This window comes from Homo sapiens, chromosome 17 (assembly GCF_000001405.40).
Source record: "Homo sapiens chromosome 17, GRCh38.p14 Primary Assembly".
Classification (NCBI taxonomy): Eukaryota; Metazoa; Chordata; class Mammalia; order Primates; family Hominidae; genus Homo; species Homo sapiens.
This window is the reverse complement of record NC_000017.11, coordinates 57,834,557-57,859,299: the sequence shown is the minus strand read 5'-3', so window position 1 is coordinate 57,859,299 and position 24,743 is coordinate 57,834,557. Positions and strand designations below refer to the sequence as shown.

At 46.1% G+C, this 24,743-nt stretch overlaps 1 protein-coding gene across 1 annotated transcript, besides 4 other annotated features; it reads left to right on the top strand.

Annotated features, from left to right (window-relative positions):
• Positions 8,761 to 9,270: an enhancer, noted in NCBI's record as "H3K27ac hESC enhancer chr17:55927391-55927900 (GRCh37/hg19 assembly coordinates)". NCBI's record gives its function as "activates a minimal SCP1, AML or CMV promoter by ChIP-STARR-seq in naive and primed H9 embryonic stem cells {active_cell/tissue: H9 hESC(naive and primed)}" and the evidence as "EXISTENCE:reporter gene assay evidence [ECO:0000049][PMID:30033119]".
• Positions 8,761 to 9,275: a biological region, named in NCBI's record as "H3K27ac hESC enhancer GRCh37_chr17:55927391-55927900".
• Positions 8,946 to 9,275: an enhancer, noted in NCBI's record as "active region_12447". NCBI's record gives its function as "activates an Ori minimal core promoter by ATAC-STARR-seq in GM12878 lymphoblastoid cells {active_cell/tissue: GM12878}" and the evidence as "EXISTENCE:reporter gene assay evidence [ECO:0000049][PMID:35858748]".
• On the top strand, positions 9,256 to 24,519 carry MRPS23 (mitochondrial ribosomal protein S23). Its single transcript, NM_016070.4, has 5 exons — positions 9,256 to 9,333; positions 9,890 to 10,060; positions 18,040 to 18,117; positions 18,248 to 18,374; positions 19,365 to 24,519. The coding sequence occupies exons 1-5, from the start codon at positions 9,290 to 9,292 to the stop codon at positions 19,515 to 19,517; spliced, it is 573 nt and encodes a 190-aa protein (NP_057154.2). The 5' UTR covers positions 9,256 to 9,289; the 3' UTR covers positions 19,518 to 24,519.
• Positions 12,461 to 13,068: an enhancer, noted in NCBI's record as "NANOG-H3K27ac-H3K4me1 hESC enhancer chr17:55923593-55924200 (GRCh37/hg19 assembly coordinates)". NCBI's record gives its function as "activates a minimal SCP1, AML or CMV promoter by ChIP-STARR-seq in naive H9 embryonic stem cells {active_cell/tissue: H9 hESC(naive)}" and the evidence as "EXISTENCE:reporter gene assay evidence [ECO:0000049][PMID:30033119]".
• Positions 24,520 to 24,743: the final 224 nt, after the last annotated feature.

The window sequence follows — 24,743 nt, the reverse complement described above, 5'->3', positions numbered from 1 at the left end:
AATCAGATTGTAAAATCCCAGGTGCTTCTAATATGCAGCAAGTTTGAGACCCTTACACCATTTTACCTGTTAGTGTAGATGACACTGGAGATGATTGTAATCAGAGAGAGAAAGAGAGGGAGAATGCTTACCAGGTCTAACAAGGAGTGCAGGAGATGAAGCCTCTGCTGGAGCCGCTGACGCCTGGTTAAAGATGGCTATGGGTCCAGGGGCAGGGACAGGCTGGACCAGATGACTGCCTTAGCCACCTACCCTCACATTGCTTGCTCATCTGCAAGTGCTGAACTCCTGGTATCCACAAGGCGATACTTGCAGATTTATCCTCTGCAAAAATGCAGAGCTGGGCTATCTGAAGTCTGGTCCAGCCAGGGCCCCTTCCCTATCTTGATGATGCTTTGATGTCCTCAGGGATCAGCCCCAACTTAAAAGGCGATCATGGGTCTGGAAAACGCTGTGCCCACAAGAATTGCCTGGTTATTACCATGCTGGGGTCTCAATTCTCCCTTTGTTTTCTTGAAGCAACTGGTTGGAGATAGGGTCTGGGGGGGAAACAGGAGAATTTGCTCTGAAGAATGAAGGAGGCAGGCAAGGTGTGGTATGAAGATGGTAGCTCTTTATCGAGTGTTTATTGTGTGCCACACACTCCTAGGGTACTTTACCGAATCCTTCACAACAATTATATGAAATCAGTATTACTACGTGCGTTTCACACAGAGATGTTAAAGTCCTTACTCAACATCTACCCTCAGTAAGAGGTGGTAGTACCTGCATATGAATCCAGGCAGCTGAGCTCCCGAGATGATACCTAAACACTAAGCATGGTGGGGTCGGGTTGGGATGCAGGGGGATGGGGTTAAGATGCAGCACCTTTGCACAGATGCAATCTGTGGAGCACAGAAGGGCCCACTTGCTCAAAAACATCACCAAAGTGATCCGTGATCCAACAGAGTGCCTGGAACGCCTCCATTAGCATTCTTTATCTGGTTTTAAAAACAATCTCTCAGCATTTCCATTAAATGGCAAATATGCTATTGAGAGAGAAGCACATGAACTCCTTATGCCCATTATCACAGCATAGATTAATTTGTTGGATTAATGGGCTGCACCAGCTGGAGGAAGAGTTGGAAATTTCTGGAGGTGGCCAGGCGGGAGAGGGTGGGCATGTGAAGGGGGCTGTGTAAATCGACTGCCACCTGGTGGTCATCTTGCAGAAGTGGCAGTCACTGGCCACTGAGACACCCAGCACCATTTTCCCAGAAGGAAGATGCGAGCACCTGTTTGGCCTTAGGCCAAAGAGACAGAGGGAAATTTACTCTGTTCACATGGTTATATGTTTTCTAAAATTTGCAAAACAAAGATATTTTAAATTTTTTCTTTTCTTTTTGTTTTTTTGAGATGGAGTTTCACTCTTGTTGCCCAGGCTGGAGTGCAACAGTGTGATCTCAGCTCACTGCAACCCCCGCCTTCTGGGTTCAAGTGATTCTCCTGCCTCAGCGTCCTGAGTAGCTGGGATTACAGGCACCCGCCACCACGCCCAGCTAAATTTTTGTATTTTTAGTAGAGACGGGGTTTCGCCATGTTGGCCAGGCTGGTCTCGAACTCCTGACCTCAGGTGATCCACCCACCTCAGCCTCCCAAATTGCTGGGATTACAGGCCGTGAGCCACTGCGCCTGGTCAAATTTTTTCTTAAGAGAGCCACTAAGATTAGATAAGCTTCAGGCCCCCCAAAACCAGCATCTACCCTGAAGAGCTGAGGCTTGGAGTCAGGTGGCCTTTCTAGAGCGTAAAGAGTCACAGTTCTTTATCAGGACAAGAGGATTATTCCAGGGACTCCAGTGGGAGGAACTATGAAACTCAGTACAAACAGCACATGCTTCCTTGCTTTGACCTTGCCATTCAAAGTGTGGTCTTTGGATACATCGACCAACTGTCCTGGTTTCCCTGGATGCAGAACTTTCAGTGCCAAAACTAGGAAAGTCGTGGGCATACTCGGGTGGGTTCGTTATCCCAACTGCAGATTCGCAGCACTGGCATCAACCTGGAAGGTTGCTAGAAATGCAGACCCAGACCTACTGAGTCACACTGCATTTTCCAAGATCTGCAGCAAATTCATGTGCATATTAAAGATCGAGTTGCTGTGGCTTCCCCAGGAAGAGAGGGGCCCACACTGGCCCTGAAATGTATGCCTTCAAGGGGTTTGGTGGGCTGCAAAACCCCACAGAGTGATTGCAACTGGTCTTGAATTCCAACAATAAAAGGCCAGCTTCTTGCTCCAGGCCTAGCTGGCCCTTTTTTCCCTGGTCACAGTGACATAGGCCTCCCAGGGCATAAAGTACTTAGTTCTCTTCCTGAACTGGATTCTTCCTGGGGGCAAGCCCAGGTTTGGTGAAGAAAAGAGTGGGTAGCTAAATGAAAATAGTTTGTAGGCTGGGCACGGTGGCTTACGCCTGTAAATCCTAGCACTTTGGGAGGCTGAGGTGGGTGGATCACTTGAGGTCAGGAATTCGAGACCAGCCTGACCAACATGGTGAAACCCGGTCTCTACTAAAAATACAAAAATTAGCTGGGCATGGGGGCGAGCGCCTGTAATCCCAGCTACTCAAGAGGCTGAGGCAGGAGAATCACTTGAACCCAGGAGGTGGAGGTTGCAGTGAGCCGAGATTGCGCCGCTGCACTCCATCTTGGGTGACAGAGCGAGATTCCATCTAACCGCTGCACTCCAGCTTGGGTGACACAGCAAGATTCTATCTAAAAAAAAACGAAAGGCAAGAGGAAAGGAAAATAGTAGCTTGTATGTTGTTAGGTAAGGTTTTTTTTTTTTTTTTTTTTTTTTTATAGAGAGTCTCAGCTCTGTCACCCAGGCTGGAGTGCAGTGCCACAATCATAGCCCACTGCAGCCTCGACTTCCAGGGCTCAAGCGATCCTCCCACCTCAGCCTCCCGAGTAGTTGGGACTACAGGCACATACTACCACGCCTGGCTAATTTTTTGATTTTTAATAGAGACAAGGTCTCTCTGTATTGCTCAGGCTGCTCTCAAACTCCTGGGCTCAATCGATCCTTCCACCTCGGCCTCCCAAAGTGCTGGATTACAGGCATGAGTCATGGCAGCCAGCCTCAGGTGAGATTTAATTGAAGGACACTGTTGCTCTAAAGCGTAGTCCGAAATTACCATCACTCTATTTATTGAGTAGTTACCATATACCGGGCACTGTTTTAAACACTTAGCAGGTATGAACCCACTGGTGCCTCACTACAAACCCTCTGCTAGGTGCTATGATTATCCCCACTTTACAAATGAAGCTGAGGCCCAGAGGACTGTAAAAGAGAACTATCTGTCAGTGAGGCACAGAGGACAGCCAGACCGGAAATGCTCACGATGTGAAGTGAATGGTGAGGTAGGGGATTATTTCCATTCACCCACAGCTCTCTCCCTATCTGTGTATCTGGGGAAGGCCTCAAAGGAAAGCTGGGCCTGGGAGAGAGGGAGGGCTGGGTATGCACAGGCAGTGAAGGGAAGGCTGAGATGACAGCATCCTCATTTGTCCTAACTTGGCTTTATTTATCCATGCTGTTCACTGGAAAACTCTGAGAGCTGTGGGCCAAGCACCAGGCCGGGTGTGGGGAGGCAGAGCTAAAAGTCCTAGTTCCTGCCCTCAAAAAGGCCCCTGTAGCCAGACTCAGACAGGTAAACAGAGTTACAACACAGACATAGCCCTGAAAGAGATAAGCATAGGAAGGGAGGGAGCAGGTCTGGGCACTCACCCGATCTTACCGAGTGTGTGCTGGGGGCTGAAAAGCTTTTCCACCTGAACTGATTCTTGACAGTTCCTTGAAGCCTAGGAAGGGGGTCTGAAGGGGAGCTCTCAGGAGAGGGGCACAAGCCCAACAGCCGGAAGGAAAGAGAAGGTACTCTGACTCCCCCCCCCCTTTTTTTTTTTTTTTGAGATGGAGTCTTGCTCTGTCGCCCCAACTGGAATGCAGTGGCACGATCTCAGTTCACTGCAACCTCCGCCTCCTGGGTTCAAGCAATTCTCTTGGCTCAGCCTTCCAAGTAGCGAGTAGCTAGGATTGTAGGTGCCAACCACCATGCCTGGCTAATTTTTAAATTTGTAGTAGAGACGGGGTTTCATCACGTTGGCCAGGCTGGTCTCGAACTCCTGACCTCAAGTGATCCACCCACCCCGGCCTTCCAAAGTGCTGGGATTACAGGCGTGAGCAGCTGTGCCTGGCTGCCTCCTCCTTTAATAGCCCTCCCTGCCCTTCATCCTCCTGGTCCTCAGACTCAGGAAGCCTACAATTCTTTTTTTTTTAACGGATCCTGATATAATCCTCTCTCTCTTTTTTTAGAGAAAAGGGCTCACTTTGTCACACAGGTTGGGGTGCAGTGGCACGATCATAGTTCACTGCAGCTGCGAACTCCTGGGCGCAAGCAATCTTCTTGTCTCAGCCTCATGAGTAGCTAGCACTACCAGCTTGTGCCACTGCACTGGCTAACTTTTTTCTTTCTCTTCTTTTCTTCTTCTTTTTTTTTTTTTTTTTTTTTTTTTTTTTGTAGAGACAAGGTCTCGCTATGTTGGCCAGGCTAGTCTCAAACTCCTGGCCTCAAGTCATCCTCCCGCCTTGGCCTCCCAAAGTGCTGGGATTACAGACATGATCCTCCACAGCTGGCCTGACATAATTCTTAAACTGTGTATTGAATATACTGTATTGCTTTCCTCCCTTTAAAGCTAATTGCTCCCTGATTTTAGCTGTCATAGGTGAGTAGCAGCATTCATGATTTCATCAGTGTGCTGGGAGTTTCACTTACCAAAGCTGTTCCACTACTGGGGATGATGCTCTTCCTCATTTTGTCTGACAAATTCCCACACAATATTTATTTATTTATTTTTGAGACGGAGTCTTGCTCTGTTACTCAGGGTGGAGTGCAGTGGTGCAATCTCAGCTCACTGCAACCTCCGCTTCCTGGGTTCAAGTGATTCTCCTGCCTCAGCCTCCCAAGTAGCTGGGATTACAGGTGTGTGCCATGACACCCGCCTAATTTTTTTTATTTTTTATTTTTTATTTTATTTTTAGTAGAGACGAGGTTTCGCCATGTTGGCCAGGCTGGTCTCGAACTCCTGACCTCAAGTGGTCCACCCGCCTTGGCCTCCCAAAGTGTTGGGATTACAGGCATGAGCCATCACGCCTGACCTCCACGCACTATTTAAATACGGGCATTGTCACAAAGATGTGGGCAGAGTGATGGGAAGCCACAAGGGATGGCCTAGACCCCGTGGCTAATAACAGAGGGGTACAGCTTGCCAACTACGTCTAGGCTTGAAGGAGCAGGAGAGGGACGGTGGCTGGAACCTGGTGAGAGAGCTGTGATTTTATGTTCTAGAACTTTATGTTCCAGGAGGGAGCCCGCTGGCAGTACCAACTGGAATCCAGCCAGAAGCAGAGGGCAAGGAGCTGGTGGATGCAGGCCACAGAAGCCAGCCTCCCGAGGCACAGAACAGGGCGAAGGACGGCAGAGAGTGGGTGTGGAACTGCTTGGGCAAATGGGAACTATTCAGCACTTACTGATCTATGTTAGGGGCTGAGCTGTGTCTCCCCAAAAATCATATGTTGAGGTCCTAACTCCAGTACCTCAGAATGTGACTATAATAGGAGGTAGTCTTTAAAGAGGTAATTAAGTTAAAATGAAGTCAGTAGGGTGGGCCCTAATCCAATAAGACTGGTGTCCTCATAAGAAGAGATTAGGACAAAACCTTCCCACACAGAGGAAAGACCATGTGAAGACGTGGGAGAAGAAAGCTGTCTCCAAGGCAAGGAGAAACTAGCCAAGTGCAGAATAAACTAAACTTGCAGACACCTTGATCTTGGACTTCTGGCCTCCAGAATAGGGAGAAAATAAATCTGTGTTTAAGCCACCCACTTTGTGTGCAAGTGGTGTTAGGGCAGGCCTAGCAAACTTCATACAATCAACAAGCTATTCAGCACATAACTTAATATTTATGTATTTACCTCTCTGTCTTCCCTACTGGACCGTTGGATTCTCTAAGACTCAGAATAGTCAGGTAGGTGTTTATATGCTTCTGGAACGAACGGATCATCTAACAAGAAAGTAAAACAGTAAGGCAATCTATGAAATATTATCAAAATGCTGCAGTCCAGGTGGCAATGGGTGGATGACACAGCACAACAGCAATCGTGTTGCTGTTACAGCCATCAGGCTTGTTGCTGCTCACAGGCACTCACTATGTCCCAGGTGCCGTGATTAGTGCTTTACATGAATGATCTCTTTTACTTTTGCAACAAGCCACGAAGATAGTTGACACTGCCATCCAGATTATTATTATTATTATTATTATTATTATTATTATTATTTGAGACAGGGTCTTGGCTCTGTTGACCAGGCTGGAGTGCAGTGGTGTGATCATGGCTCACTGCAGCCTTGAACTCCTGGGCTCAGGCCATCCTCCCACCTCAGTCCCCTGAGTAGCTGGGATTACAGGCATGCACCACCACACCTGGCTAATTTTGCCCAGGCTGGTTTTGATCTCCTGGCTTAAGCAATCCTCCCACACTGGCCTCCCAAAATGTTGGGATTACAAGCATGAGCCACTGAGCCCAGCTCCACATTTTAACAGTTGGAGAAACAGAGGCTCGAAAAGTTACATAACTTGCTCAGAGTGAAGCAATTAGTGGGCACGTCTACAATGAGACAGTGGGATTAATATGAGGCCGAGTGGTGTTGTAGGAACATGGCCTTTGGGAGTTTACAAGCACCACTTCCTTATCTGTAAGATTAGCAGGACATTACCTATGTCAGCAGGTGGTTGAACAACTGAATGAGACACTTGAGGTTCCTTGGTACCTCCCGCGGCACAGTGGTGCGTGGTGTAAGTGCCCCAGGCCCTCACAGCCTTGGGCGGCTGTGGTCCCCACTCAAGAAGACAGCCTCAAATGTCCATTCTGCCTGCCCCCTGCTGCCCGACAGCTTGCTCCTGTATTATGAATGAATGTTTCTTGGGTGTGTACTTCTTGTGTAGCCTCAGAAGGCTGTTATCCCCAAAGTACCCCCAAGTCTGCCCACCAATATTCTGCTCTCAGTCACAGAAGCAGGCTGGAAAGGGAAACTTCAAAGGCTTGGAAGAGGAAGGGACCACCCCAAGATTAGCGAGAACATTTCTGCCTTGCAGTTCTTCCCCTATTGAGGGTTTGCGTCTTTGGTTCCCCTCCTTGATCTTGGAATAAACCCTTTAACTCTTTAGCTGCAGTGACTGCACTAACCTACAGTAGCAGTTCCTGGTGGGAGAAGAGAAGTGTGCCTGTAATCTGGGCTGGCAGATAGTGCTTGCTGGCTGGGACAGAATTAGAAAGTTGTTATGAGGCCTGGGAAGACTATATTTAGCTGGGAGCATGTTTACTCTCCCCAGAGCAAGGTCTTTTAGACCTCCTGAGGGCTGGGATACTAGAGCCTTTACACCTGGCCTGGGGCCAGAGCTGTGCTCTCTCTTCTCTGTTCCAGAGGGTCTGGAGGCAGCAGTGAAATCCACCTCAGGTTAGCCCTGGGCCTCAAATCACTGGATCCCTGGCGTGCGTGTGTGTGTGTGTGTGTGTGTGTGTGTGTGTGTGTGTTGTGGGGGGGGCGGGTGGGGAGCGGCGTTCTGCTGGACTCTTGAGCCTACCAGCCTCGAGCTTTAGGCATAGCTTAGGCGGCATTGTGAGGCACTGGAAAGGGCCCTGGCTGCCCCACCCCCCCAAGGCTGGCTCTATCAGTTGCTTATCAGACAAGTTATGTAACTTCCTGAGGCCTTGCTTTCTCATCTATAATGAGGATGTTAATAGCTACCTTATGGGAAGGTATGTGGATTCAGTAAGATAACACACACAAGCAGTAACTACTCATCAAACAGTCCCGTCCTCCCCTTCACCAGCCTCAGAGTGGGAGGACTCTAGGATGACTTGACTAGGCTCCCAGGAGACATTGTGTGTGATTCAAAACATTCATTGGATTAAAAGTTCAAATATGAATACAATCTCTTTACAAGTCAAACTCTGAAGCATGTGTAAAGGAAGAAAAAATTCTCCCTTGCCTGCCTGCAGTTTCACTCCGAGATATCCAATGTTCACAGCCTTGGGTGTCCTTCTGCAGAATTTCTATCCTCAAACACAAACATATATAGAGGTGTTTCTTTTTCCTTTTTTTTTTCTAACACGTTGAGATTCCACTAAACATGTTTCTTTGCAACTTCGTTTTTCATTTAAACATAAGTCATGTACCTTAACCTTGGTAAATACATGTGGATCTAGCTCATTCATTTTAATAGCTGCATAGGGTTCCAAAGAAAGTATGAACAATAATTTTCCAGCTATTTCTCATCTGATGGATTTTTTTTCCCACTACAAACAATGCTGCAACGATGATCCTTGCACAAACATCCTCATGAATTGATGCTTTAATTTCTAAGGGGTTCTTTCCCCGAAATATGATTACTGGGTCAAAGGGTATGCTACACACAGTTTATATTTTTTTACAGTTTAACACTGAGAGATGACTTTCTCCAGATTTTTTCGTTTCCCTCTCGGCGTCTGTTTGTTCCGGACACTTTCACTTTTCGAGTTCCAAGGAGGAGGTAGCCCGCGACACCGGCCGCGGGAAACACGAGTTGCAGCCAGCATCCTAGTTAGCGTGGATGCAGGTGGCACTCCGGGGACGAGGGGCTTAGTGGGGAGCACTACACAGCCAGAGGCGGAGGCCCGAGATCTAGCACGACGCTGGGCAAGTGACGGCCCCTCCCCGGCCTTGGTTTTCTTCTGCGTAGTCTGTGACTCTAAACAACATTAGGCTCAGCCTGGGCCTAGAGCTGGTGACCTCAAATCTCGGCCTTTGTTGGCTCCCCTAGGACTGTAGGCTGCGCTTCACCCCTGCTCTGCCCCACTACTTCTCCTCCGCGCGGCCCCACCTTTTCAGAGGAGTTGGCTCAACAAGGCGAGAGAGAGTAAAGCAACCATCATGATGAATCCCTCCCACAGCTCGGTCATTTATTACTTCTGTCCGGCTTTGGCTCGCTCCTGCCCTTTTGGCTCGGCTATCGAGTGCTCCTGCCTGAACCTGGCAAGTAACCTCGGAGCGCGCCCGTTCGGCCTATCACTTGCTTCTGCCTGCGCCGCTCTCCCGCAGGGGCTGCGGTGAAAGCCCAGCGATCCTTGGCTCGGCCAGCAACTTATGCGCCCTTTACCTGGAGCAGCCGCTTCCGGTTCCGGTAGCAGCTAGTCACGCTCGGTACCAGGCGCAGATCATGGCAGGCAGCCGGCTGGAAACCGTAGGGAGCATCTTCTCTCGGTGTGTGCTCCCAGCCGTGGTGGGCTGAGGGTGCCTCCCCCAGGCTGGGGTTCTCAGCCGGTCACGCTCTTCCTTGGAGCGGACCTGAGCAGGGCGAGGCGTATTGCAGGGTGCGGGGGCTGAGCTGGGTGAGGCCCTCTCATGTTTTCTCCTGGCTCCGAATAGTTGTGCCTGAGGATGCCTCTCCTTGAATTTATGTGTCATGTTAAAGATTATTGCAGCTGCCTCTCCCCGAGTGGAGGTCTCTAGGAAGAGGAAGGGAGGAAGAGCCTGATGGGCCTTCCTTATCAGGTCATGCAAGACCGCTCTTTGCATTTTTCCGTGACCGAACGTGGGTGGGACGCACAAAAGAAGATAGAGGGATTTAACTCTCCTGAGCGTTGTTAAGTTTGGTTTGGGATGTGGACAGATCTTCTCTGTAGGTGGGGAGCAGTCCTTCCCCGTTCTGTGTTGCAGACCGCATAATACCTTTAATGTCCCAAACTGTGCTAGACTGATTCAGGGGCTTTGGCAGGCTACTGCAAGTGACCCAGTTTCGTTCTGTTCCCTCCCTAAGGACTCGGGACCTGGTTCGGGCCGGGGTGCTGAAGGAGAAGCCCCTGTGGTTTGACGTATATGACGCCTTTCCCCCGCTGAGGGAGCCCGTCTTCCAAAGGCCTCGAGTGCGATATGGCAAAGCCAAAGCTCCCATCCAAGACATCTGGTACCACGAGGATCGGATTAGAGCGTGAGTGCTCAGCCCTGTAGTGGACAGGAGGCAACAGAACTTCAGAAGGGAAGGTTTCGGTAGCAGTCTGGGAATTCAAACATGAAATTGAGTCAGGGGTTTGCCCTGTGGAGAAGGCTTATCTAGCCAAATTAGGGAGGCAGCACCCCTTCCTCATAGTGAAACTGAAGTTCTGAAAAGTGGAATCTGGAGCCCAGCAACCGAAAGATCATTGCAATTATAGCCGCATGTTTCTGGGCATCTGCTTTGGGCCAGGCACTGTACTAAGCTCTTTGCAAGCATTATCTCATTCTCTAAAGGCCTTACTCTAACTTGTAAGGAAGGCATTCTTGTTTCCATTTTATTCAAGGAGACTGCGAAGCTCAAGGAAATTAGCTAACTTCTTGTAATTACTAAATATATAGGAGGGTGGCAGATCTGGGAATCACATCTCTGACTCCAAGCTTATGGTGATCATTATGCCGGCCTTCTCCACGAGTGGAGATAGGAGGAACGTGGTCTGTGGATCTAGTAGTCCGGCTCTTTGAAGCCACTCAGATGAAAGGATGCTTGAAAGTCTAAGAGAGGCCGGGTGCGGTGGCTCACGCCTGTAATCCCAACACTTTGGGAGGCCAAGGCGGGCGGATCACCTGAAGTCAGGAGTTCGAGACCAGTCAGACCAACATGGTGAAACCCCGTCTCTACTAAAAATACAAAAATTAGCCGGGCATGGTGGTGGGTGCTTGTAGTCCCAGCTACTCGGAAGGCTGAGACAGGAGAATTGCTTGAACCTGGGAGGTGGAGGTTGCAGTGAGCCGAGATCCCACCACTGCACTCCAGCCTGGGCGACAGAGAGAGACAATCACTAGGAATTTGAAGGAAAATCATGTGTTCTTTATTTTTTTTTAGCATCCCTTTTCTCTTTTTTTTTCTTTTTCTTAAGCTCAGTGGCAAGAATACTTCCTCTTTTATTATAAAAGCAACACATGCTACTTGTAGAAAATTTAGATACACAAAGAAAGCATAAAAAGAAATCACAGGCTGGATGTGGTGGCTTGTGCCTGTAATCCTAGTGCTTTGGGAGGCATAAGGGAGGATAGCTTGTGCCCAGGAGTTTGAGACCACCCTGGGCAACATAGCAGGACTTGTCTCTACCAAAAAAAAAGTAGTTGTCTTAGTTTACACTCTGATTAGCAGTTTCTGAGAGTTCTTACTTTATCCTTGTCAGTATTGATAATGATTATTTAAGAATTTTTTTTTTCTGGGCCAGGCACGGTGGCCCACGCCTGTAATCCTGGCACTTTGGGAGGCTGAGGTGGGCAGATTGCCTGAGCTCAGGAGTTCGAGACCACCTTGGGCAATATGGTGAAACCCTGTCTTGACTAAAATACCAAAAATTAGCCGGGCTTGGTGGTGGGCACCTGTAGTCCCAGCTACTTTGGATGCTGAGGTGGGAGAATCGCTTGAAACTAGAAGGTGGAGGTTGCAGTGAGCTGAGAGTGCACCACTGCACTCCAGCCTGGGCAACAGAGGGAGACCCTGTCTCCAAAAAAAAAAAAAGTTTTGTTTTTTTCTGATCTAAGTATTTTTTTTTTTTTCGAGATGGAGTCTCACTCTGTCTCCCAGGCTGGAGTGCAGTGGCGCAATCTCGGCTCACTGCAAACTCTGCCTTCCGGGTTCATGCCATTCTCCTGCCTCAGCCTCCTGAGTAGCTGGGACTACAGGCGCCCACCACCACAGCTGGCTAATTTTTTGTATTTTTAGTAGAGACAGGGTTTCACCGTGTTAGCCAGGATGGTCTCAATCTCCTGACCTCGTGATCCGCCTGCCTCGGCCTCCCAAAGTGCTGGGATTACAGGCGTGAGCCACCGCGCCCGGCCTCTTTATTCTCTTTTTTTCCAAAACTTAAATAGTCACAGAAAATGTGCTCCTAATGGTTGCCTAGGAACATTCTTTTTTTTTTTTTTTGAGATGGAGTCTCGCTCTGCCACCCAGGCTGGAGTGCAGTGGTGTAATTTCAGCCCCATGCAACCTCCACCTCCCGGGTTCAAGCTGTTCTCCTGCCTCAGCCTCTTGAGTAGCTGGGATTACAGGCTCACGCCACCATGCCTGGCTAATTTGTATTTTTAGTAGAGATGGGGTTTCACCATGTTGGTCAGGCTGGTCTCAAACTCCTGACCTCGTGATCCGCCCGCCTTGCCTCCCAAAGTGTTGGGATTACAGGTGTGAGCCACCGTGCCCGGCCTCCTAGCAACATTCTTAAAAATATCTTTAAAGTTCTCTATTTTTTCTTTTTTTTATTTTTTATTTTTAATTTATTTTTATTATTTTTTATTTTTTATAGTATTTATTGATCATTCTTGGGTGTTTCTCGGAGAGGGGGATTTGGCAGGGTCATAGGACAATAGTGGAGGGAAGGTCAGCAGATAAACATGTGAACAAGGGTGTCTGGTTTTCCTAGGCAGAGGTCCCTGCGTTCTTCCGCAGTGTTTGTGTTCCTGGGTACTTGAGATTAGGGAGTGGTGATGACTCTTAACGAGCATGCTGCCTTCAAGCATCTGTTTAACAAAGCACATCTTGCACCGCCCTTAATCCATTTAACCCTGAGTGGACACAGCACATGTTTCAGAGAGCAGGGGGTTGGGGGTAAGGTTATAGATTAACAGCATCCCAAGGCAGAAGAATTTTTCTTAGTACAGAACAAAATGGAGTCTCCCATGTCTACCTCTTTCCACACAGACACAGTAACAATCTGATCTCTCTTTCTTTTCCCCACATTTCCCCCTTTTCTATTCGACAAAACCCCCATCGTCATCATGGCCCGTTCTCAATGAGCTGTTGGGTACTCCTCCCAGATGGGGTGGCGGCCGGGCAGAGGGGCTCCTCACTTCCCAGACGGGGCGGCCGGGCAGAGGTGCCCCCCACCTCCCGGACGGGGCAGTGGCCGGGCGGGGGTGCCCCCCACCTCCCTCCCGGACGGGGCGGCTGGTCGGGCGGTGGCTACCCCCCACCTCCCTCCCGGACGGGGCGGCTGGCCAGGCGGGGGCTGCCCCCCACCTCCCTCCCGGACGGGGCGGCTGGCGGAGCAGGGACTGCCCCCTACCTCCCTCCCAGACGGGGCGGCTGGCTGGGTGGGGGCTGCCCCCCACCTTATTTTTTTCATACAAAAAAAAAAAACAAAGATGTCACACTTCTTTGGGACTACTTTTCTGTTTTCATGTTTCCCCTTTTGTGTGCCCTGAATTTTGTTCATACTGCCCCTGTTGTGGCCTTAGCCTGTCTTTAATAGCTCTACATTCCAAATGCCCTGTCTTTATTCAATAACAAACATTCATTAAGCACTGTCATGGGCCAGGCATTGTCAAATTCATTCTTGTAACTTCAGTGCCTAGCCCATTGTGTGGCATATAAGTTGCTTATTAATCGTCTCTTGAATGAAGAAGCTAATGGATTAATGGACAGATGAACTATGAGGCTGGTAGAGAGAAACGAAAGAAAATTCCTTGGAGAGGAATGGTGGAGGGCCAGGACTGGGACTGTTTGGAGAATGGCCATCAGAATTTTATTAGTTTTCTGAAACAATTTCAGGAACAGTGGGCTAGAAACCACTTCTATGGCCACATTTAGCATCCCTATACATTTATGTAAGATCTAAGTAAGTGGTAAATCTCTCACTGGGAGTTTACTGACAAAGCCCCTCCCCTTGAATACTGATGTTAATTAGCTTTTAGTACCTTGAATTTGTCTAGTTCCTTTTTCTCTTAAATATTTATACCAATGAGTGTGCCTAATTGACTTTGATACACATCCCTTATTCTTACTGTTGTTTCAGGATGCTAGAAAATGGAATTTATAAGGTCATTATGTTCCGAATTGGGGCCCAGGCTTTCACCCCGGGACCCCCAACACCAACACTCATTTAAAGTAGCAGAACAAGTATGTTCTTGTTCTACTTGGATATTTTCGGCATACAACATGAGATCTTTGAGGAGATTAAATGCTTTTTCAGCACCTTTCTTCTCAGACCCATTGCATGCACTTTGTGGTTCATTGATACATTAAAATCATTTGTGCTTTGCTCTCACATGTAATCCTGGCACTTCAGGAGGCCGAGGCGGGTGGATCACTTGAGGTCAGGAGTTCGAAACCAGCCTGGGCAACATGGTGAAACCCCACCTCTGCTAAAAATGCAAAAATCAGCTGGGCGTGGTGGCATGCACCTGTAGTCCCAGCTAGTCTGGAGGCTGAGGTGGGAGGATCGCTTTAACCCAGGAGGCAGAGGTTGCAGTGAGCTGAGATTGCACCATTTCACTCCAGCCTGGGTGACAGAGTGAGACTCCGACTCAAAAATAAATAAATAAATAAAAAATTTAAAAAATCATTTGTGCTTCTGCTGTAGATTTGGACTGGATGATAAATGATTGGAGAATGTGGAATAGTTTACTTGTCCCTCTTGTTAAATATTACTTTTTTTTTTTTTTTTTTGAGATGGAGTCTTGCTCTCTCTCTCTCTCCCAGGCTGGAGTGCAGTGGTTCAATCTCAGCTCACTGCAGCCTCCACCTCCCGGGTTCAAGCATTTCTCCTTCTCAGCCTCCCGAGTAGCTGGGATTACAGGCATGTGTCACCACGGCGGGCTAATTTTTTTTTTTTTTTTTGTATTTTCAGGAAGACAGGGTTTCACCATGTTGGCCAGGCTGGTCTTGAACTTCTGACCTCCAGTGATTCACCTACCTTGGCCTCCCAAAGTGCTGGGATTACAGGCATGAGCCACCATGCCCAGCCTGTTAAATATTATTTCTTTAAATTCTTTTTTTATTTTTTAATTTTTTACTATTGTCAGAATATATAAAAATTATTTCTATTAACACCAAAATATTATCTTGTATTTATATAATTTATTGAACCTTTATCTTTGTGGCCCTCTTTTTTTTTGGTGGTTTTGATATTTAAAAAAGCTTATAGAGTGGTTGTGCATGCCTGTAGTTCCAGCTACTTGGGAGGCTGAGGAAGGAGGACCATTGGAGTCTAGGAGTTCAAGGTTGTAGTACACTATGATTGTATCTGTGAATAGCCACTGCACTCACAACAGCCTGGCAACATGGCAAGACCCCATCTCTTAAAAAAAAAAAAAAGAAAAAGGAACTTACAACAAAATAAATAAAACAAACAAAAAAGATGTATTAAAATCTAAGTGTAAAAAGTGAGATCATAACAGTACTGGAAGAAAACATGGGAGAATTAAAAAAATAATCTGAGTGATAAAGGTCTTTTTAAGCATGATATAAAACTCAGAAGCCATAAAAAGAAAATATTAAAATTTTCTGTATAAAAAAGTACTGTAAGCAAAATCAAAAGACAGCCAACAAACTGGGAAAGATCTTTGCAATGTTATGACAAAGGACTAATTTTCTATGTATATGGCTACAAAGTTTGCTTAGAAATCATTAAGAAAGAGACCACTGTGTAACGAATTACCATAGACCAGGTGGCTTATAAACAAATGAAATTTCTTTCTCATAGTTCTGGAGGCTAGGAAGTCTGAGATCAGGGTGCCAGCAGGGTCAGGTTCTGGGGAGGACTGTCTTCCTGATTCCTCACATTGAGGGGAGCAGAGAGTGGTAGCAAGCTCTCTTCTATCTCTTATAGGGGCACTAATCCCATCATGAGGGCTGATTACCATGACCTGATTACCTCCCAAAGCCTCCATCTCTAAATACCATCACAATGGGGATTAGGATTTCAACATAGTAATTTTGGTGGGACACGTTTAGTCCATAGCAACCACCAAATAGAAAAGCGGACAAAGAACTTGGACAGTTCACAGAAAAGGAAATTCAGTTTGCTTTTAAACTTGAAAAGATGTCCAGTCTCTTTAAAAAGAAAAGCAAATTAAAACTATAAAGAGTTCTGGTTTCTTACCTATTAGGTTGGCTAAGATCAAAAAGTTGGAGAACATGTGTGTGTGTGTTTGTGTATTTTTTTTTTTTTTTTGAGGCAGGATCTAACCCAGACTGGGATGCAGTGGTGCCTATCATGGCTTACTGCAGCCTTGACCTCCTGGACTCAAGTGATCCTCCCACCTCAGCCTCCTGAGTAGCTGGGACTACAGGTGTATGCCACCATTCCTGGCTAATTTTTAATTTTTTTTGTAGAGATGGTGTCCCACTATATTGCCCAGGCTGGTCTTGAACTCCTGGCCTCAAGTGATCCTCCTGCCTTGGCCTTCCAAAGTGCTGGGATTACAGGCATCAGCCAGCACGCCTGGTCTAAATATATATATATATTTTTGCTGGGATTACAGGTGTGAGCCACTGCACCTGCCTCGTGTGTGTGTGTGTGTGTGTGTGTGTGTGTGTGTGTGTGTGTGTATATATATATATTTTTTTTTTTTTTTTAGAGACAGGGTCTCAGGTCTCACCATGTTGCCCAAGCTGGTGGTGAGCTCCTGGCCTCAAAAGATCCTCATGCCTCAGCTTCCCAAGCAGGTGGGATTATATGCGTGAGCCTCTATGCTCAGCTGGAGAATGTCATTTGGTCAGGGTGTGGGGAGATAGGTGCTCGTATATTACCTATGTGAATGTAAATTGGTACAGCCACTTTGGAAAGCATTTTGGCAATTTGGAAGGCTTAATTACAAATGCACATACCTTGATCCAGTAGTACCACATTTGTGAATTTATGCCACAGACTTATTTACGTAGTGCACTAAAATTATAAATAGAGATAATGATTGCAGCATGGTTTAGAGTAGTAAAGGACTGGAAACAATCTCCATGGCACTGATAAGGCAAGATGTAGGGAGGAGAAATGGGGAGTGACTGCTCAGATACAGTGCCTCCTTTTGGGGGTGATGAAAATGTTTTGGAACTTGATAGAGGTGCTAGTTGCACAGCTTTGTGAGTTTTCTACATGTCACTTAATTGCACACTGAAAAATGTTAAATGTGGGCTGGGGACAATGGCTCATGCCTGTAAGCCCAGCATTTTTGGAAGCCAAGGTGGGAGGATCTCTTGAGGCTAGCAGTTCAAGACCAGCCTGGGCAACATAGTGAGACTGCATCTCTACAAAAATTTAAAACTTAGCCAGGCATGGTGGTGCTGCGAACCTGTAGTTCCAGCTACTCAGGATGCTGAGGCAAGAGGATTGCTTGAGCCCAGGAGTTTGAGGCTGCAGTGAGCTATGATCACAGCACTGCTACCTGCGTTGGTGACACAGTGAGACCCTGTCTCTTTGGAAAAAAAAAAAGTTAATTTTATGATGTGTGACTTTTACCTCAGTTTTTATTATTTATTTTTATTTTGTTATTATTTTTTGAGACGGAGTCTCATTCTGTTGCCCAGGTTGGAGTGCAATGGTGCGCTCTCCACTTACTGCAACCTCTGCCTCCTGGGTTCAAGTGATTCTCCCACCTAACCCTCCCAAGTAGCTGTGACTACAGGCATATGCCACCATGCCTGCTAATTTCTTTGTATTTTTAGTAGAGATGGGGTTTCACCATGCTGAACTCCCAGTTGCAAGTAATCTGCCTGCCTCAGCCTCCCAAAGTGCTGGGATTATAGGCATGAGCCACTGCGCCTAGCCATACCTCAGTTTTTAAAAAGGCAAGATGTAGAGCAAGGTTTACTATTCTTGGGGTTAAAAATGTGGCTGGGGACAGGGAATGATAGTGCATATATGCTAGTATATTAGTGGAATATTTCTGGATGGATATACAAGAAATTTGTTAGTGTTGCTTCCTGGGAAGGGAACTGGGGGGCTGGGGTGCAGAAGTGGGAGGGAGTGTTACTTTTCACTGGCCACCCTTTTGTGCTATTTGATGTATTTACCATGTGCATGTGTGCATTACTTATCTAAAAAAACAAAACTGTTCAGCTTAGGCTATGTGGGTTATACCGTACTTAACTCCTCAGTGCCTAGCACTTATTCTTTATTTCTTTTATTCCATTCTCATCCACAGTCTATAATCGGAGATTTATATTATGTTGTTTGCATTTTCTAGGAAGTTTTATTCAGTGTATGGGTCTGGTCAAAGAGCTTTTGATCTATTCAATCCAAACTTCAAGTCTACCTGTCAACGGTAAGCCATTTTATAAGTCCTAGGCTATTCATATTATTTTTTAAGGATTTTGTTATCCATTTGATATTGTGTAACAGCGTCTTAACAATGCTTACAAACATACCTAAAATGTGACTGCTTGGAATTACAGGTTTGTGGAGAAGTACACTGAGCTACAGAAACTTGGAGAAACAGATGAAGAGAAGTTATTTGTGGAAACAGGGAAGGCTTTATTGGCAGAAGGTGTCATTTTAAGACGAGTAGGCGAAGCAAGGACTGTGAGTATTTCATTGTTAAAATTGTTACTGGGTTTATAGTTGTCCCTCAGTATGCACAGGGGATTGGTGCTAGGGCCCCTGCAGATACCAATATTCACAGATGCTGAAATACCTTTTATAAAGTGCTGTGGTTTTTGCATATAACCTACACATATCCTCCCATATACTTTAATCATCTCTAAATCATTTATAATACATAACACATTGTAAATGCTATGTAAGTAGTTATACTCTATTTTTAAAAATTTATATTTTTTATTTTATTTATTTATTGTTAAAATATTTTTGATCCGTGGTTTGTTGAATCTGCATATGTGGAACCTGTAGATGCAGAGGGTTGACCAGAGTTGCCAATCTGATGGAAGTTAAAGAGAGACTTGGTTTTCTTTCCCTAACCTTGGCTTATGTTCTTAAACTCCAGGTCAAATACTGTTACACTGAATATACTAGAATTTTGTGGTAATGACTGCTACTTGAAACAAGTGAGTCGTCATTAGGGCTTTTGAAATTTGGTTCTATAGACTTTTTTTTTTTTTTTTGAGACGGAGTCTCGCTCTGTCACCCAGGCTGGAGTGCAGTGGCGCAGTCTTGGCTCACTGCAAGCTCTGCCTCCTAGGTTCATGCCATTCTCCTGCCTCAGCCTCCCGAGTAGCTGGGACCACAGGCGCCTGCCACCATGCTCAGCTAATTTTTTGTAGCTTTAGAAGAGACGGGGTTTCACCGTGTTAGCCAGGATGGTCTTGATCTCCTGACCTCGTGATCCGCCCGCCTCAGCCTCCCAAAGTGCTGGGATTACAGGCGTGAGCCACCACGCCCGGCCCTATAGACTTTTTAAAATCATGTTTACTATTTGTTATAGTAGAATTGGATCTAAGATATTAGTGCTAAATTTTTCACTCAGTGACAGAATGTGCCTAGTTATATATCTTTAGCGAATTAATTGAGTGAAAATGATAACATCTCTGTGATACTTAAATCTGGTCTTTTAAGCAACACGGAGGTAGTCACGTTTCCCGGAAATCCGAACACTTGAGTGTCAGACCACAGACTGCGTTGGAAGAAAACGAGACTCAGAAAGAAGTTCCACAGGACCAGCATTTGGAGGCACCTGCAGACCAGTCGAAAGGTCTCTTGCCTCCCTGAAGGACCTGTATACTGTGTATGCTGGCATTCACACTCTACTCACTGGCTGAATGTTGAGCTATTTTTAAACAGTTGAACTGTGTAAATGTTTCTTGATCTCTAAGGTATTATGTTTGCCTTCTCTTAGTTATTTCTGGGTTGTCACAAAGCTCAGTATCATGGTTTGACAGAAGCAGTTATGTGAACTTTTATGTTAGGACATTACTAAATAAAGAATTCCCTAGCTGCTTATAAAGTAAATTTACTTTGAATTGTAAATAACATGAAGAAACCTTTATAAAGATTGTTCAAATGGGACTCAATCTGACTAGGCTTGCTTTGATGTTTGTTAGTATGTGGGCTGGCTACATCTGATTCCCGGGTACATATTTCTTCTGATCCATCAGACTTATACGTGTACACATGTTGTGGAACCTTGGCTAGCTGGTTTTGTCTGCAGAGAATCTTTGTACTTCTTGCTATAGAACGATTATCTCTCCACTTGAGAGGCCAAGCTGACTTGCGCTTTGTGGTAAGAGTGAGGACCTGTCATTGCTGATACACAAAGACCAAAACTGTAACTTTAATGTCATGGATTGAGTGTGCTGGAGACAGTTAACATAGGCCTGCACAGACTAGGCTGTTCAGTAAATACTTGTTGAATGAATGAGTGAACGAATGGTTATATCCAGCTAAAGACTGGATTCATATGGTGTAGATAACAGGATTGCCAAGAAAGGAGGCAGCTAATTTAGGTGATGCTCTCCACCAGCATCCACCTGCCTCCCTGGGGCCAAAGTGTGCCTACAAGTCCTTATCAACTTCCCTGCCTTCCTCGTTTCCCCAGGTTTTACTAAATACATGAAATATCCCTCTGAGATTGCAGCCTTTGTATATGTGGTCAAGCCAGTGGTTTTTAGCTGTTAGTAGTAAGCTGCTTCAGAAATTCCCTATTTTAAAACTCATGTAGATTTTCTACCCAGTGATTCTTTGTGTATGCTCTCATCTCTCCTGGTACACTGTGAGGCAGGTCCACATCTCACAGTCTGTATATAGTACACATCCATGCACGTGGGTGCTTGGTTCATGCAGGTGAATGAATACATTAGGCAAAAGCAGCTCTCAGCCATGCTGCTTCCCCCTCGACCTTTATCACTGTTTCACAACTGCTTGCATTTGGAGAATGCTTTACTTTTCCGTAGGGAAGTAAATTTCATCCATTCAGAGACATTACACAACCATTGAGACCAAACATCGGGCCAGACCTTGGGAAGAGGACTTAAAAAGCAGGTGAAAGACACAGTCTATTCTCAGAGGAACAATTGAGGGGTCACTCATCTCTTTAAACCTTAGGTTTCTGGTTTTTTAAGGGCAGGTTTTTTTTGCCACAATGATGAATATTTAAAAAATGTTTTTTTCCTTCATGTCTGGATTGATGTCCCATTTTTGCTATTTTTGTTTGTTTTCCTCCTCTGTAGATTTTTAATTTTTTTTTTTTTTTTTTTTTTTTTTTTGCGATGGAGTATCACTTTGTTTCCCAGGCTGGAGTACAGTGGAGCCATCTTGGCCCACTGCAACCTCCGCCTCCCAGGTTCAAGCAGTTCTTCTGCCTCAGCCTCCCAAGTAGCTGGGATTACAGGTGTATGCTATGACGCCCGGCTAATTTTTGTATTTTTAGTAGAAACGGGCTTTTAACCATGTTGCCCAGGCTGATCTCAAACTGCTGGCCTCAAGTGATCCACCCATCTCAACCTCCCAAAATGCTGGGATTACGGGTGTTAGCCACCATGCCTGGCCTTAATTTTTTTTTTTTTTAATTTTGTTTTAGGAGATGGGGGTCTCACTGTGTTACCCAGGCTGGGTGCAGTGGTGCATACCCTGCCGCAGTCTTAACTCCTGGGCTGAAGCCATCCTGGCTCACTTCCCGAATAGCTAGGACTATAGGCATGTGCCACCACGCCTGGCTCTTTAACATTTTTTTTGTTTGTTTTTTTTTGTAGAGATGGAGTCTTGCTATGTTGCCCAGGCTGGCCTGGTCTCAAACTCCTGGCCTCAAGCGATCCTCCTGCCTCAGCCGCCCAAAGTGCTGGGATTACAGGCCTGAGCGACCGTACTGGGGCTGAAGACTTTTAAAGAAGTTATTTGTTGCATAATTCTTTAAAAAAATTATACATGCACATGGTTCAAAACTTAACAGTAAAAAGCTAGTCTCCCACCCCTGTTCCCCAGCCACCCTTTTCCCCTTCCCTGAGGCCATCACTATCACCATTTCCTTGTGCGCTCTTCCAGAAATATTTTGGGCATGGACAGGACACTATGCATACTGTTCTGTACCTTGCTTTTCTAGTTACTATGTCTCAGAGATCCACTGTGATTTAATCAGTGCCCGATTGAAGAAAATGTTCTTTGTTTTACTGTGTTGCAAATGGGCTGCTAGAGTTATGGGATGCTGGATCAAGGAGCAGATCATTTTGAGTTTTGATATCTTCGTCCATAGAAATTGTGCTTAACTATACTCTCATAGCAATGTATGAGAATGCGTTCCCCTACACATTCTGATCTTGTTAAACCAGACTGGGACTCTGGACCAGAAGGGAAAGACCATCCCTGTATAGCAAATATCTGGATGGGGAGAAAGCTGCTGTCACTCATTGACTTCTTTAGGTTAAGTCTTAGTGATCAAAACATAGTGAAAGATATGAAGCTTACTTTGGAAACTCAGAACTATTTCCACAGTTTGGGCAAAAGCTGTCATCAGATCCCCATCACGTTTTGGAGAGAATGGAAGCATGACCGCATTCTTGGCTTTAAAGAGCTTAAAATCAGGCCGGGCTCCATGGCTCACGCCTGTAATCCCAGCACTTTGGGAGGCCAAGGTGGGCGGATCACCTGAGGTCAGGAGTTCGAGACCAGCCTGGCCAACATAGTGAAACCCCATCTTTACTAAAAATACAAAAAAATTAGCTGGGCGTGCGGGCGTGTGCCTGTAATACCAGCTACCCGGGAGGCTGAGGCAGGAGAATCGCTGGAACCCAGGAGGCAGAGGCTGCAGTTGAGCCGAGATTGTGCCACTGCACTCCAGCTTGGGCGACAGAGCAAGACCCTGTCTCAAAAAAAAAAAAAAAAAAATCTTAAAATCGAGTTGGGACTACAAGAGTGACTTGTGAAACAGCAAGATGAACAGGAATCCTTTTAAACTTTGATATAAAAGTACAGTAGAGGTTCAGGGGCAAGGAATCAGTTCTGGATTTGTCTAGGAATACTGCATGAGAGCCTGGAAAGGCAGTGGGATGGACATGTACATGCGGTTTCTTTGGGCAGGAACACCCTCCCTTCTACCATGGTCTGTAGGAATTGAACCTTCCGTGCCGTTTTCAAATGCTGTCTGTGCTCGGAAAATACATAATATCAAGTCCCTTACTGAACCCCCTACAGATTGTGTTCATAAGGTGCTTCACTGCTGTTGGTCTACCTGGCCTACTGTTTGTACTCCTGCCTCATTTACTGTGGCCTTCATTCAAGTAGTAATGATTATTTACCTATTAAGAGTATAGGGTGGGCGTGGTGGCTCATGTAATCCCAGCACTTTGGGAAGTCAAGATGGGTAGATCACTTGAAGTCAGGAGTTTGAGACCAGCCTGGGCAACATGATGAAACCCCATCTCTACTAAAAATACAAAAGTTAGCTGGATGTGGTGGCAGCCTCCTGTAATCCCAACTACTCGGCAGGCTGAGGCAGGAGAATCGCTTGAACCCAGGAGGTGGAGGTTACAGTGAGCTGAGATCATGCTACAGCACCCCAGCCTGGGCGACAGAAGAGAGACACTGTCTCAAAAAAAAAAAAAAAAAAAGTATAAAGGAGGGCAGAAATTCTTATTCTTTTAACCCATTGAAACATTAAACAGCCTTTCAGGAGCAGACCCTCCTACGGATTTGCTGAATCCAAGGCGAGGAAGGCATATATCCAGGTTACAGTGAAGTTTGCCCCAGACAAGTAATGAAGATTTGGGTTCTAGATCTGGATACTCCAGGCAGTTTTTACTATGTGACCCTGTGCCTGTCACAGTATTTCAGCCTGTAAAATATGGACAATGTTTGCCTTTTTGGCTTCCAGTTAGCTTTGTGAGGATTAATTGAGATGAGTGCAAAGCTCATTTGTAATGTGTGGCTGGTGGTTTTATTACTATTTTGAGCAGTAGTGGAAAAGCCCATTTGAACTGGTAGGATGAGATAAGATCATGGTGGCCTTGACAACTACATGGAGGAGCCAGTTGGGTATGGGAAAGTTTGAGCAGGGAAAGAAAGAATGTAGTGAAAGCAGTGTCAGGTCAAAGAAAGGTTTGCCTAGGAGTGATGTAAAGAATGGGATGGAGGAGTGGGCAGGGAAGGAGGAAAGAGGAGACATGTCAGAGGGACCAAAAAGGAGGCAGCAAGTCCAAGGTCACAAACCTGAGTGACTAGAAAACTTAGCAGCATCACTAACACCCAGTTGGTGACGTGGAACTGGTGCTCTCCTGGGAGAGAGCTTCAATTCTCAACCTACTAAGTTGAAGGTGATGGTGCTATATCTAAGTGGCAGACAGAGATAAGGGATAGGTGTCTACAGGGGCAAGATTTGGAGCCAGGAGAAGAAATGAGCTCTCCAAGGGTAGTGGGGAGAGATCTGGGATGTTGGGGGCTGGCAGGTAAATGCTTTAAGTGATAGAATAGGAGGAATGAGAAAGCCAGCAAAAGAAATTCACGTCCCATGTCTTCCATCATCTATATGTCTGACTTGTTTAAGTGGTCCTGGATTCACCAAATTTTATAGAGCTCTGCCTCTGCCTTTATTGGGTAGGCCTGATTTTTGATGATGTCCTTAAAAGGCTAGCCTGATTCTTCTTGTAGTTTTGTAGAACACTTTGTATCGAGAGTTCTCTGATAATGAAAGTGGTATTACAGAATAATCTGCCCCCGAAGGACTCCTGATTTTGTTAAAGTGATACCTTTCTCTGTAAATAAATGATGGCGTGCCACTTAAAAACCTTCAGCAGATTTCTTTTTTTAAACAAAGTCACTCAAGTGGGACAGTAAGATTTTCTCTGAGGCTGGCACTGGTGCCTGCCTCTGCTCCGGGGAATCCAGACGTGGCACCCGGAGTTGGGCCTCATCCATCCTCAGCTTTCATTTGTGACCAAGCCTGACTCAGAATGGGCTGGCAGTTTTCCTGAGTACATGGGAGTTAGGGCAGAGAACATGATGTGGTGC

Excerpts from the sequence above, each read along its gene's own strand:
- MRPS23 (NM_016070.4), top strand. The coding sequence starts at position 9,290 with ATGGCAGGCAGCCGGCTGGAAACCGTAGGGAGCATCTTCTCTCG. Across the intron at positions 9,334-9,889 it reads GTAGGGAGCATCTTCTCTCG|GACTCGGGACCTGGTTCGGG; the intron begins GTGTGTGCTCCC and ends TCCCTCCCTAAG. Across the intron at positions 18,375-19,364 it reads GAGTAGGCGAAGCAAGGACT|CAACACGGAGGTAGTCACGT; the intron begins GTGAGTATTTCA and ends TGGTCTTTTAAG.